A 13766-nucleotide genomic window follows, 5' to 3' on the forward strand; every position below is an offset into this window, starting at 1 on the left:
AATTATGCACCGTTTTCTAGATGAGGAAAGTCCTTAGGAAATCTCCAAGGACTTGCTCAAGGCCATTCATCTAGTAAATGGGGGAGCTGGGACATGAACTCGTGACTGTCTGACATCAAAGCCCAAGCTCTTAGACATGATGCTGGATTTCCAGTTATGATTATTAAAAAATCATCCTTCACTGTCTCAAAGATGTACAGAGGATGTGATCAGCAGAGAATTCAGATTTATACCCAGTAAACTACCTAAATGAGGATTGTAGGGAGCACAGTTCAGTGGTCTTAAATTCTGAACTATATCTGCTAACCAGGAGACAGATGGAACTCTGGTTTTATTCTAGCACCCAGCACAATGTATAAGAAAGATGTCCACTTAAATGTTAAATGTTTAAACCAGCATTCTGCAATTTGGAAGATATCATGCTTAGTGAAATGAGCCAGGCACAGAAAGACAAATACTATATGATTTCACTTATATGTGGAATCCAAAAGAGTCAAACTCATAGAAGTAGAGAGTAAAATGATGGTTACCAGAGGCTGGAAGTAGGTGAGAAGCAGGGAATGGGAGATGTTTGTCAAAGGGCACAAAGTTTGTTAGATGGAAGAAATAAATTTTGAGATCTATTGCATAGCAGGGTGAGTGGAGTCGGTAACAATGTATGTTTCAAAATAACAGATAATAAATTTCAAATTTCTCACCACAAAAAAAATGATAAGTGAAGTGACAGATGTGTTAATTTAGCTTGATTTAATTATTCCACATTGTATACATATATCAAAACATCACATTGTATCCCATAAATGTATACAATTATGATTTATCAATTAAAAATAATAGTAATAAAAATCAGCATACTGCAATTGCTTGAACATAGATGCAAATACCAAACACCAAGTGTGCACCATATTAGAATTTATTATAATACAAACAAGTCCAAACACAATATATAATCTAATTAAGAAAATATGAACATTTGCTTTTTTTCTATGGTAACTTTCTATTCCATTCTCTGAACTGGAATAGCCAACATTAGAGTCTTTTATTCACTTCGGGTAGGCTCCCCATGTTGAACCAGGAGGTACCAAATGTGCAAAGTGATCTTTTCCAATAGCAGGGTGTTTGCAACACACAAGTTCGTGCCCACTCCGGTCTGTCTTTTATGGTTTGTCTGTCATTCCCCTCATTTCCTTCCCCATGAGACATTTCAGCCGTCAAGTTGTTCAATAAAAAGACACAGCATGGTGGTGCGTATCATCATTGCAATGTCCAACCAAGGACACAAATCATATAGCAAGAGAGAAGCTAGTTAACTGTCTTTGAAAGAGGCACCACAAAAACCCACGATAAGGCAATTGCTTTAGTGCCACCAGCAGCAGCCATTTACATGACAGGCTTCAAAGTTCAAGGCTTTATTGTCAAAACTGGCCTGAAAGAAAAGGCTTACAAGTTTTTAAAGTTTTAAAGTTAAAAAAAACCCATTTCATGATGTCCATAATTATTACTATAAATAATAATAAAAGTCCTTAGATAGTTTGAAATAAATTTTAAGAGATATGAATCAACCTAACCCAATGGGCATTCATTTGCATTTTAAGCAGAAGACAGCAATTCACTACAGTGCCTTCAAGAATTGGACCTCTTTTAAATATCATGTAGCAAAATATAAAATATATTCGGAGGAAAAGAGATCACAATACCACGTGGTAGAGCCTCTATCATCGAGAAGTAATAAATTAAAGTGTCTGAGGAAAATGTTCCCAATGCACACCCAGTTTTTAAACATCAACAATTAATTGTTACACACAATTAAAAATATGGAGCAGAGAGCATGGAGAGTCACATACATATTTTCCATCTTATATACATTCTCAAAAAGGAATTGCTTAACCTTTGTAGATATTGCACTTTGACTCATTCATGTGTAGCTCAAACTAGCATTTTTCAGAGCTACATGTTTAAAAAATAAATAAATAAATATATATATATATATATATTCAGTATAGGTAGCCTTTGGTCAATGTCCATTCATAAGGGGGTGTAGTGGCGTTGCATCACACACACATTTAATGAACACATGTTCAATTACACGTGCTTGGCAAAAAAGAGACAGAGAGAAATGCAATTTAAGGGAGGTGAGGGAATCTGCTTACCATTCCACTCAATGAGCATACGCCCTGGGGAGCGTGGGAGATGGGAGATCTGTCCCTCAGTCAGACGACTTCCATGAACTTCTTTGAGTGGAAGCATCTTGATGCACCAGGGTGGTCCTAATGTTCTCAGATACATTAGAATCACACAATATGGTCCCTAAATGAGAGCCAATTCTGTCTTGTCATCAACCAGAGAAACAGCAACTTGTTCCAATGCTAGAGAAAAACTTAGCTGTGTTAGGTTTTGAAAGCAATGGAATATAATCTCCAACATGGCTCTTTTTTGAGGATCTTTTGCAAAGGTAACTTTGGCTCTGTAAGGTTTTATCTTTTGCACTGACTTTAGAATCTAATCCTTGGCTCTGATGAGATTCTATTGCGATCCTTTAAAAGGGGTAAGAATTAGGATCATCAGGACTAATATGACCTAAGTTTGTATTGAGTTAGTATTGAGAGCATTGGCTGAAGTTTAGGGTTTGTGTTGCCATGGGGCCTTTTCTTATCCCATTCATTTATTGCAAATTCCCTTAAAAAAGATAGACATGTCTTCCAACTTAGGGACAAAATGCAGTAAAAATCCAGCCTGAGGAACTAAATATTCCAGGTGGACTGTCTGCCGTTTTTTGGTCACCAAAAATGTCATGCAATTTCAAAGTCAGTTTGGCAAATTTATTCCAAAACAGGGATGAATTCGAATACTGGGAATCTGAGGGAGAAGTTAAAAAAAAAAGAAGAAAAAAGAAACACTAAATAAGACGAATATAATCATGTGTGTGTGTGTGCTGCACACATAAGTAGCAATTTCCAGGGATGCCCCTATTCATTACATCCTAGAAATGTTCTTGCCTTGGACAGGCAAGGGTAGAATAAATAAACACACTTATATTTTATCATTTTACAAAGGATCTGGGTTAAATAGCTTTACCAAGAACTGGCACCCCCTTTTGAGCCATGTGCGTCAAAGGGCAGACGAGGCGTCAGCATGGGCACCTTTTGTGTCTGCGTTTGTGGCGAAATGGCAGCGCCAGCTGGGCTGTGAGACAGAGCTGAGAACACCTCCTCTCATACCCGCAGAGCTGCAGTTCCTGACCCTTGAATATTAAATTCAGTTCGGAAGTCACTTCAAATAAAACAATTTGGTGAGGGCCTCAGCAAGCAAGGAGGCAGGGTTGGCAACTTGACACGTAAAAAGGCTTCTCTAGGAAGCTGGAGTGATACCATAACAAGAAGCAATTTTGAGTAACGGGATCGTATGCAGCTGACACAGGGATGGGTTGAAACAATGGCAAGTGTGGGCTTATTTTTTTGTTTTTCTGGGCTCGAGAATTCCTCCTTTCCCCCTGCGCACCAGGCAGGGTCTTTGTTTTGGAGGAGATAGAGAAAATCTATACATAATGATAAATAGAAAACTGCCTTTTAGACCCCAGGTTTGAGGTCACAGCTATGCGGGTTTGGAGATTTCCTGAAGAAGCTCTGGCCACAGTTTGGATGGGATCCAATACTCTTCTATTCCCACAGTGTCATTCTGAAGCTAGGAGTGCCAGAGCCAATTCAAGACCACAACCCTCTCTAGGACAAAGGGCACCTTGAAAAAAATCCTGAAATAGTCATTATTGTTAGCTCCTGGGAACAGCAGAGGGAAGTGATGAATGACCTCAGCTCTCGGAAGAAGAGTGCAGGCTCAGCTATGTGCTACTGGGGCTTGGTAAGTCCCATAAATGAAGGGTTCCCAGTGACTGTGGATGGTACCAGGGCGAAATCACAGACTACTTCTCTACTTTGTGTCCTAACTGGTCACAGGATGATGACACAAGCTCCAATGGCATCTTCAAACTGGTAGGAGCTTTTGCTGTCATTACGACTCTGTGGAAATAAATGCATAAGTAAAAACAAGCTTCATGCTCTCCTTTCTTCTCTTCCATCTCTTCTCATCTACCAGTCTGAGAATTGCCCAGTCTGCGGGAGACAGGAAATCGGATTAGCACTCTTAAGGAGAGCTGCTCAGCCATAGGATGGGACACCTTCCCATCTGGAAATGGATTAGACAGAGGCAGTAGTTGCCACACCTATGGAATCACGGGGATACTTTTATAGGTTTTCCATTTTTGTCATACTGGTACACCAGCATCTTGATGCAGTGTGAGTTTGCCGGCGAGATCCAGGGGCTACTTGTTATGGAAAAGTTATGATTGGTGTAGAACTGTACAGGTTGCTTCTGGCACTTGAAGAAAGCCTTGAGCGTGGCGGCTGCCATGGTGCGGAACCGCTTGCTGATGAAGCAGTAGAGGAAGAAGTTGATGGCTGTGTTCAGAAGGGCTAGCATGTTGGCAATGTCGGACATGATGTGTACCAGCCAGCGGTTCTGGATGGGCGCCCCATAGAGGTGGTAAAGAATCATGATGATGCGGGGGGCCCAAAGTGTGGCAAAGATGGAGGTAATGGTGAACAAGATGGCGGTGGTCTTCCCCGTGGAGTAGCCACGGAGACGAAAATTGCTCTTCCTCCTGAGCTTGTACACAATGATTGAGTTCAAGATGAAGAAGATGGAGCAGGGCACCAGGTAGACGGTGAAGCAGTGGATCCAGATGAGGACGTGATGCACAGAGGTGCTGATGTAGTCTTCAGTCCAGATGTTGGGCCACCAGTAATAGGGGATGCTGGTCAGGAAGCAGGTGATGTAAACACTTACAATGACTTTCCGGGTGCGGGCTGGGTATGAGACCGTGTGGTACTTGAGCGGGTGGCAGACAGCGATATACCTGTCAATGGTTAACGGTACAGTAATCCATATGGAGGTGTGGATGGATGAGAATTCCAGCACTTCTATGATCTTGTCGGGGACCTGAGGCATCTGCATGTTCAAGATGAAATCTTCCAACAGGAAGTCCACAAACACTATGAAAAAGAGGACCAAGATGTCGGCAGCAGCGAGTGCCAAGAGATAGTTGTAGGAGGACTTCTGTCTTCTTGCCACCAGCTGGGAGAGGATGATCACTGTCAAGATATTTGCTGTGGAGAGAAGAAAAACTGGTTTAGCTCTGAAGCAAAGATGACTTCGTTGGCTCCTATGGGGGCCCTAGGCATATGTTTATTTTGCACTCCCATGGAAGTGAAAATGATTGAATCAATGCTTTTGAGGGACAACCTCAGCATTACAAATAGCACCTCATACAATTAGTGGATACTATTTTAAAGTTATGCTTATATTCTAACACAACCATGAGAGGTGGTGCCTCCATTCTCCTCATCTTAGAAGTGAAACTGGGGCTCTGAGAGCCTCACACAGCCATGAGAGGTGGTGCCGCCATTCTCCTCACACAACCATGAGTGGTGTTGCCGCCATTCTCCTCACACAACAATGAGAGGTGGTGCCACCATTCTCCTCACACAACCGTGAGAGGCGATGCTGCCATTATCCTCATCTTAGGAATGAAGCTGGGGCTCTGAGAGCCTCACACAACCGTGGGAGGTGGTGTTGCCATTCTCCTCACACAACCATGGAAGGTGGTGTTGCCATTCTCCTCACACAACCATGAGAGGTGATGCCGCCATTCTCTTCACACAACCGTGAGAGGTGGTGCCGCCATTCTCCTCACACAACCGTGAGAGGCGATGCTGCCATTATCCTCATCTTAGGAATGAAGCTGGGGCTCTGAGAGCCTCACACAACCATGAGAGTTGGTGTTGCCATTCTCCTCATCTTAGAAATGAAACTGGGGCTCTGAGAGCTTAAGCAACTTGCTTAGAGCTACACAGTTAATAATTCATGGTGATAGGATCCCCTGATCCCAAATCTCATGCTTTTTCTTTTGTTCAGTTGCATGAAGAATATGGGGCTGAGGTGGCATTTCCTGCTATATGTGTTCAGGAAAGAGACGGGACTATATAACCTCTTAAGAACCTCTTCAGAGCTTGGATTTTAGGACCTTTCCTTTTTAAGTAGATTTAAAATTGGAGGTGCAGAGAAGATCATGACCTTCAGATTAATTTAAAAGTAAATTACATTTGTTTTTGGAATAGGTAATCTACGTACATGCTACATAATCAAAAATAATAGCAAGGAAAAGTACATTTTCCTTCTACTCTTATTCTCCAATCATCAAAGTTCCCCTCCCTCAGGGAAATTACAGTTAATAAATAATCTATGCTTATATATGTCCATATAGTGTGCCTGCATTAGGTTGGTGCAAAAGTAATTGGCAAAAACTGCAATTACTTTTGCACCAACCTAATACATAGTTTTTGCATAAACAGCAGCAATGTTTTATTTTTTGTGGGGTCAGATTTGTCTTGAAAATACATCTATATAATTTCTGATCAGTTTTTTTTTTAAAAAAAGTCTCCCTGAATTAAGCATATTTAGAAAGTCATTAGGGACTCACTCTGAAATGATATTCCAATGGATAATATCTAGAAGTCATTCTACACATTTATTTTCATTCATTCTCACAGTCAACCCTGAAATTTGAACACCGATAATGCTATTTTGCAACCTAAGTTCTCAGAAAGCTTACATTCCTTGTCTGAGGTCCAGTGGCAGAGCTAGAATCCAGATCTCTCTCTCAGTCTCTCTCTGTCTCTCTTCCTTTCTTGGTAGCCATTTAAAATGTCATACAATAGTTCACATGTAAAAATTCTTATAATAAACACACCTGCAAAACCTGGTGTGCTCATCACTCAGATTTAATACATTTTAACATTTTGCCATATTTACTTCAGCTCTCTTTAAAGAAAGAAATGACACTATAGATACAGTTGAAGTCTCCTCTGAAGAAGCTCTGTTCTCATTCTTTTCCATCTTCTTTCTCTAGAGGCAACCACCATGCTGCAGGCTGTGTGCAGTGTCCAGTGCCATGTCTGCATATTCTTTCTTTCTTTCTTTTTCAGAGACCCGGTCTTGCTATGTTGCCCAGGCTGGAGTGCAGTGGCTATTCACAGATGCAATCATGGTGCTTTACATCTTTGAACTCCAGGGCTCAAGTGACCCTTGCACCTTAGCCTCCTAAGTAGCTGGGACTACAGGTGCACATCACTGTGCCCAGCCTTTTGCTTTCTTTTATACTGAAACTGCCATTCTATATACTGCTTTTGTCATTCAACATTGTATTTTTGAGGCCCAGTTTTGTTGCTACGTGAAGATCTAGTTCACTCAATTGAATGACTACATAGCATTTTGCTGTAGGAACTTACTGATTTATTTATTTATTTATAATTTATTATATTAAATATGTTCATTCATTTAAATTGGTTCCAGGATTTTGCTGTTATAAACCAAAGTTAATATCTTGACATGACTCTCCATGAGAAGTACTTATATATGAAAATTTCTCTGGGGTAATGTATACATGGAAGTGTATTTATTATGTTTTAGAGTATGTGCATCCTCATCTTTAACAGACACTGCTGAATTGCTTTGTAAAATTTTACTAATTTAGATTCCCAATAGCAGAATATGAGAATTCCAGTTGCTCCATATCCTCTCAGTATTACCAGTTTTTTTTTAAAGTCTATACTGTTCTTGTTCTTGTCCAAATCACTTTGAAATAACATTTTGGAGTGGTGGAGAGTTAAGATACTGATTATATTAATTAGCCAGGATTCAATCCCAGGACCAACATCCATGCTCAAAACCAGTCTGCAATATTGGTACTTATTCCCAGTGGGCTGGGGGTACCATGAAGATATGCTATACTGCACACAATGTAGAGAAAAATGGTGAGTATGTCCTATTTAAGTCACTGCTTCAGAAAAGAGACCCACTAAAGGTCTTTATATTTGTAAACTTGGTATTTCAAAACTGCATTAATGCATTCATGCATTATGTACCTATTCTGAGCTGTGCCCTTGAAGGGGATGGTGAACAAAATAGACATGGTCTGTTTAGCCTGCATGGAGCTTAGATTCTGTTAGTCAAGAAAAACATCAGCTGAAGAGCCACGGAAGAAAATGCATTAACTGCAAGCTGTAGTGAACGCTATGAAGGAATGTTTTGGAGTAGGAATCAGAAAAATCTTTACTGAGATTTGGAAGACCAGGAAGAGGTTAAAAGGCAGAAAAGTTGGAAGGAGAAAGTGTTTCAAGCAAAGGAAACAGCATGTGCAAATGTTCTGAGGGGGAGAAGTATGAAGAGTTGGGTTTATTAAGACAAAGAATACTTATATTGAGTTCTGCTTGCTTTGTAAGCATCCTTGCATTTTATAGCTCTCTTTTATTAAACAGCCTTGCTGTGTTCTGTTGAAAAGCATTTCAAAATGTTTTATTCATCCAGAAATTTTTCCAAAAAGTATTTAGCATCTACTTTCTGTGGTCAAATACGTGTGCATAGGCCTAAGGTGGATATACATTGGGTACTCTTGTGGATACACATAAAGTCTGTACTCAGAGAGTAGAGAAACATCATATAAGTGGCTAAGTATTAAAGAGATAAATGAGAACACAGTATATAGGAGCTGCTGGTGAATAGATACAGAAAGAAGGACAAAACTTTGGTGAAGGGCCCTGATTAAAGGCTTGGTTTCCAATCCCTGCTCCTCTGACCTAATCATATATAGTCAGAGCTTCATGGAACCCAAGCTGTAAAGAGGTTGAGGTCTAAAGGTCTATTGAATCAAGGGTATAGGAGCTCAGTTGCTAAGAGTGCAGGATCTGGGGCTGGGCTGCCTGGCTGTTATTACCACCTTGACTTCAGACAAGTTTATTCAGTATTTCTGTGCCTCAGTTCCCTTCTTTATAAAATGGGGTTAATAGTCTCTTCTTACACTGCCAATAAAGAAGTTTCCAAGATTGGGTAATTTACAAAGGAAAGGGGTTTAATTGACTCACAGTTCCACCTGGCTGGGGAGGCGTCACAATCATGGCAAAAGGCTAATGAGGAGCAAAGTCACGTCTTACATGGTGGCCAGCAAGAGCTTGTGCAGGGGAACTCCCCTTTATAAAACCATCAGATCTCATGAGACTTATTCACTATCATGAGAACAGCATGGCAAAGACACGGCCCCATGATTCAACTACCTCCCACTGGGTCCCTCCTATGATACATGGGGATTATGGGAGCTACATTTCAAGATGAGATTTGGGTGGGAACACAGTGAAACCATATCATGTGGTTAATAAGACTATCTACCTCATAGGGTTGTTCTGAGGGTTAAGTGAGATAATTTTAATAAAGTGGTTTAAACAGTGTCTGGCACGTGAGAAGTGTGGAATGGATGGTAGCTATTGACTGAGAGTCCATTCATGCAGCAAATATTAACTGGGCATTGACTATGCCAGGCATTGGATGAGGCTTTGGAGATACAGGTATTAACAAAGTGGACAGGTTCCCTTTTGCCATGGAGTTTATAGTATAATGAGGGAGACAGACAATAAATAAACAGACACGCAAATGCACAACAGAATGTCAGATGTGATACTAGGAAGAATAACACCAAGGGATGAGACAAGTTTATGGGGTGGTAACTTTTAGATTAAAAGCGATATTTCGGTCCAATCAAGGATGAAGAGAAGGGAGGCCAGGCACTGTGGCTCACGCCTGTAATCCCAGCACTTTAGGAGGCTGAGGGTGGTGGATCGCTTGAGGTCAGGAGTTCCAGACCAGCCTGGCCAACATGGTGAAACCCCACCTCTACTAAAAATACAAAAATTAGCCAGGCGTGGTGGTGGGTGCCTATAATCGCAGCTACTCGGGAGGCTGAGGCAGGAGAATCACTTGAACTCGGGAGGTGGAAGTTACAGTGAGCCGAGATCGTACCACTGCACTCCAGCCCAGATTACAGAGTAAGACTCTGTCTCAGAAAAAAAAAAAAAAAAGAGAGAGAATAAAGAAGGGATCTAGGGATCTGTCGCAAGTATTTGTGGGAAAAGGATTCTAGGCAGTGGGATTGGCAAGTGCAACAGCCTTGTGGTGGGAATCAGCTTCTTATGTTCATAGAACAGAGAGACATGAGAACGATTTCCCATTTTACACATGAGGAAACCAAGGCTTGGATTTTTAGATAATTTGCTCAAAGTCACAAACAGAACAAGTAAGGGAGCCAGAGAAAAATGAAAATGGTGACCCCAGCTCTGTCTGACTTTCTGTCTTAATAGATTCTGCTTTGTTTATTTTCGGTCATAGAAAAGGGTTCTCAGCATAAAGAATGCGTTTCCTGTTCCTTGGGTTGCCCCTGACTTAGAAAAGTGCCATATTTTCTTGCAACCTCTTTTTTCCTTTTTGATGAGACTGAGTTTCGCTCTTGTCGGCCAGGCTAGAGTGCAATGATGCGATCTCGGCTCACTGCAACCTCCACCTCCCAGGTTCAAGCAATTCTCTTGCCTCAGCCTCCTGAGTAGCTGGGATTAGAGGCACGTGCCACCACACCCAGCTAATTTTTTTTTTTTTAAGTAGAGATGGGGTTTCACCATGTTGGCCAGGCTGGTCTCAAACTCCTGACCTCAAGTGATCCACCAGCCTCAGCCTCCCAAAGTGCTGGGATTACAGGCGTGAGCCATCATGCTCAGCCACAACCTCTTTTTCCCCCCCATCCATTAAACAATGCCCACTTTCCCTTTCACATCCCTGCTTCCCAAGGAGGCAGGATGTATAAATGGTGGGATGTCCCCAGAAAAAGTGCTATATATATACACACACACACATACATACAGGTTTAAGTTCCTGGATAATATATATATGTGTGTGTGTGTGTGTGTGTGTGTGTGTGTGTGTGTGTGTATTCTATAGAGAGTGACTCTCCCACTTTTTCTTCCTCCCCAGCTGAACCCTGTTTGAAGTGCGGTGCTAAAAATTCTCCATATCGAAGCTCTTTAAAAGTATTCCAACCCCATCTAATTAATGCTTTAAGTCAGGCAAGTCATCAACTCCAAGTGAAATTGCTAGGTATTCATATTTGACATTTCCTTAAGTTTCTAGTGATTGCCTCTCTTGAGAAACTAACCCGCAGACACTGAGTTTCCCATTTCTTTTGTACAGGTAGATTTTCCCCCAGGCAACATCAGGAACATGTAGGAGATCCCTGGGGTGGGGTGGGAGAAAGAAGTGTGAGCTGAGGAGACCCAGAGGGGAATGGTGCGGTTCCTGTGTATTGATTTTCTGAAAAAGAAATGAAAAGGTAGAGCCTTCAACTCTTAAAAGCTTGACATTTGCTATAACTCCCCATATTTAAAATTTCTTTCATTTCCACAGTGGCACATTTTCCCCAAAGGGAAAGAGTGATGTTGACAGGGTCTGTGTGTATTTATAAGGGGTGAGTAAATGAAGAAACCGAAGTTCTCACTGCCTGAAATTCCATTTCTGAGCTTTCCTGTCAAACTGATCCAAGGATTCCATTGTTGAGGAAACCCAACCAATCCCATCCAAGCAAGCCCCGCCGAACTTCACCACCAAAATGTCAATGCTTCTGAAAAGCAAATCCTTTCTGTCAATGGTGTCGTCAGACAGGTTTAAGTTCCTGGATAATAAAAAGCCCATGTTTTGTGACTGCAAAGCTTCTTGGTTATATTCTTGAGGGAATTCATTTCCCGTATTTTGCAGCTTACTGTGCTCAAGCTTGGGAGGATTTTGGGAAGTGGCTGAGAGAACAACACAGGTTTTGTTGTCAGACCACACCACTGAATCGTCTGCTGGCCCAGAGAGAAAGGGTCAAGGTCTTCTAGAGGTATTTTCTGTGTCTGTGATGACTAAGGGGTCTCTGCAGGTTCCTTGGAAGAAGCAGCTGGACTGGGAGTTCTGAGTTTATATCTTTTAGTTCTGCTACATTGCCTTTTTCTTGTCTTTAAAAACTGTTTTTTCAATTACAAAAGTAATACACACTTGTCAAAAATTAAACATTATATCAGTGTCTAATAATAATAGTAATAGAATTTGTCTACTTTTATTGTGTATCCACTGTGCTCAGGGCACTTCTAAGCATCTTACACACAATATCTCACTTAATCTTCACAACTACCCTGTGTAGTGGGTACCACGATTTAAAAGCCCTGAGGTTCAGAGAGGTTAAGTAACTTGTTTGAGATCACACAGCTAGGTAGTGAGCTAGGACAATAAACCAAACTGTTAAATGTATAAACTCAGGGGAGTTTATACATTTAATGACTACATTAGAAATTAGAAGGGGAAAGTCTGTCAAAACCCCGTCTTCCATGGATAATGTGTCAGCTAGCCTTATAGGTGAACCCTTGTGTACTATGCCCCCTGGTACACATGCCTCTAGGTAGTCTCCATGCCTTGAGTTGGAGCTGGCCCTGTAATTTACTTTTGACCAATACATTATGGCAGGACTGATACTGCATGACTTCTAAGGTTAGGTCATAAGTGGGTCTTTTGAACACATGCTCTTGGTATGCTCCTTCTTGGAACCCAGTTGCCTTTCTGTAAGAGGCACATGCCACTTAGGCCATGTGTAGGGCCTCTGGTTGAAAGCCTCAGTGAAGCTCATGGCCAATATCCAGCATCCACTGTCACCCGTGGGAATGAGCCATCGTGGATATCCAGCTCAATAAAGCTCCCAAGTGGGTGTAGTCCCACTGCTCACTGGCTGCAAATGCATGAGAGACCAGAAGCAAGAACCACCCAGCAGAGCCCAGTCAGCCCAGGAACCGTGACAAATAATCGTAAATTGTTGCTCCTAGCCTCTAAGTTTTGGGGTTTGCTATGCTGCAATAGATAACCAGAGGTTTCTTGGCCACTTGGTGTTTATATCTCCAGGATGCTTATATGCCCACAATAATAGTACAACTAGTAATAATAATTATCCCCACAAAACGAGATTATACAATAATATTGTTGTGCAACTTGATTTTTTTCACTTAGACATGAATAATAGATTTTTCCATATGTCAATGATATTCATGAAATATTCACCTATTGCTGGACGTTACTTATTATGACTATTTTTGTTACTACAAGCTTCAAGTTCATAAAGCATTTTTGTGCATTTCTTTTGGATAAATTCCCAAAAGTAGAAATCCTGGTTTAAAGGGTAACACACTTTTCTTCCGTCTTTCCCTTTCTTCCACTTCTCTCGTATTCTCACTCCCTCTCTCCCTCCCTCCTAAAGGCAGCTAAGAGAATTTGTAAGATGGAAAAGAGCTCACGTTGGAGGCTACAAAAGGATTTAGGTTAGATGTCAAGAAGAACTTTTTTGATTGCAATGGCAGTTATGTGAAGAAGAGCAGGCCACTCTTGAGCACAGTTGCTCAGTCCACAGGGGTCTTAAGAATAGGAAAGAGAATTGCTATTTGGGATCATTAGATTCCTGGAGTCACCTTCTACAAATCCTAGTTCTCTGCATCCTAAATTTCTGAAAAAAGAAGCCACTTACCCCTTTCAGTCACAATCCCCTGTGACTTAAAAGCATCTCTCCCTTTGCTTGAACCAGGGAGGCAGAGGTTGCAGTGAGCTGAGCTGGTTCCACTGCACTCCAGCCTGGGCGACAGAGTGAGACTCTGACCCAGAAAGGAAAGGAAAGGAAAGGAGAGGAGAGGAGAGGAGACGAGAGGGGAGGGGAGGGGAGGGGAGGGGAGGGGAGGGGAGGGGAGGGGAGGAGAGGAGAGGAGAGGAGAGGAGAGGAGAGGAGAGGAGAGGAGAGGAGAGGGAAGGAGAAAAGAAAAGCATCTCTC

General features: G+C 41.6%; 1 protein-coding gene across 2 annotated transcripts in view; it reads right to left on the reverse strand.

The window, feature by feature from the left end:
• Positions 1-728: 728 nt before the first annotated feature.
• GPR139 (G protein-coupled receptor 139) overlaps positions 729-13766 on the reverse strand; it is a 45652-nt gene continuing 32614 nt past the window's right edge. The window contains exon 2 of one of the 2 annotated variants that reach the window (NM_001002911.4): positions 729-5159. In NM_001002911.4, the coding sequence (NP_001002911.1) occupies positions 4225-5159 (935 nt within the window). In that variant the 3' untranslated portion in view covers positions 729-4224. The remainder of the gene's footprint in view (positions 5160-13766) is intronic. The other variant, NM_001318483.1, reaches the window with a different exon arrangement.

The sequence above is a fragment of the Homo sapiens genome, chromosome 16 (genome assembly GCF_000001405.40).
Source record: "Homo sapiens chromosome 16, GRCh38.p14 Primary Assembly".
Classification (NCBI taxonomy): Eukaryota; Metazoa; Chordata; class Mammalia; order Primates; family Hominidae; genus Homo; species Homo sapiens.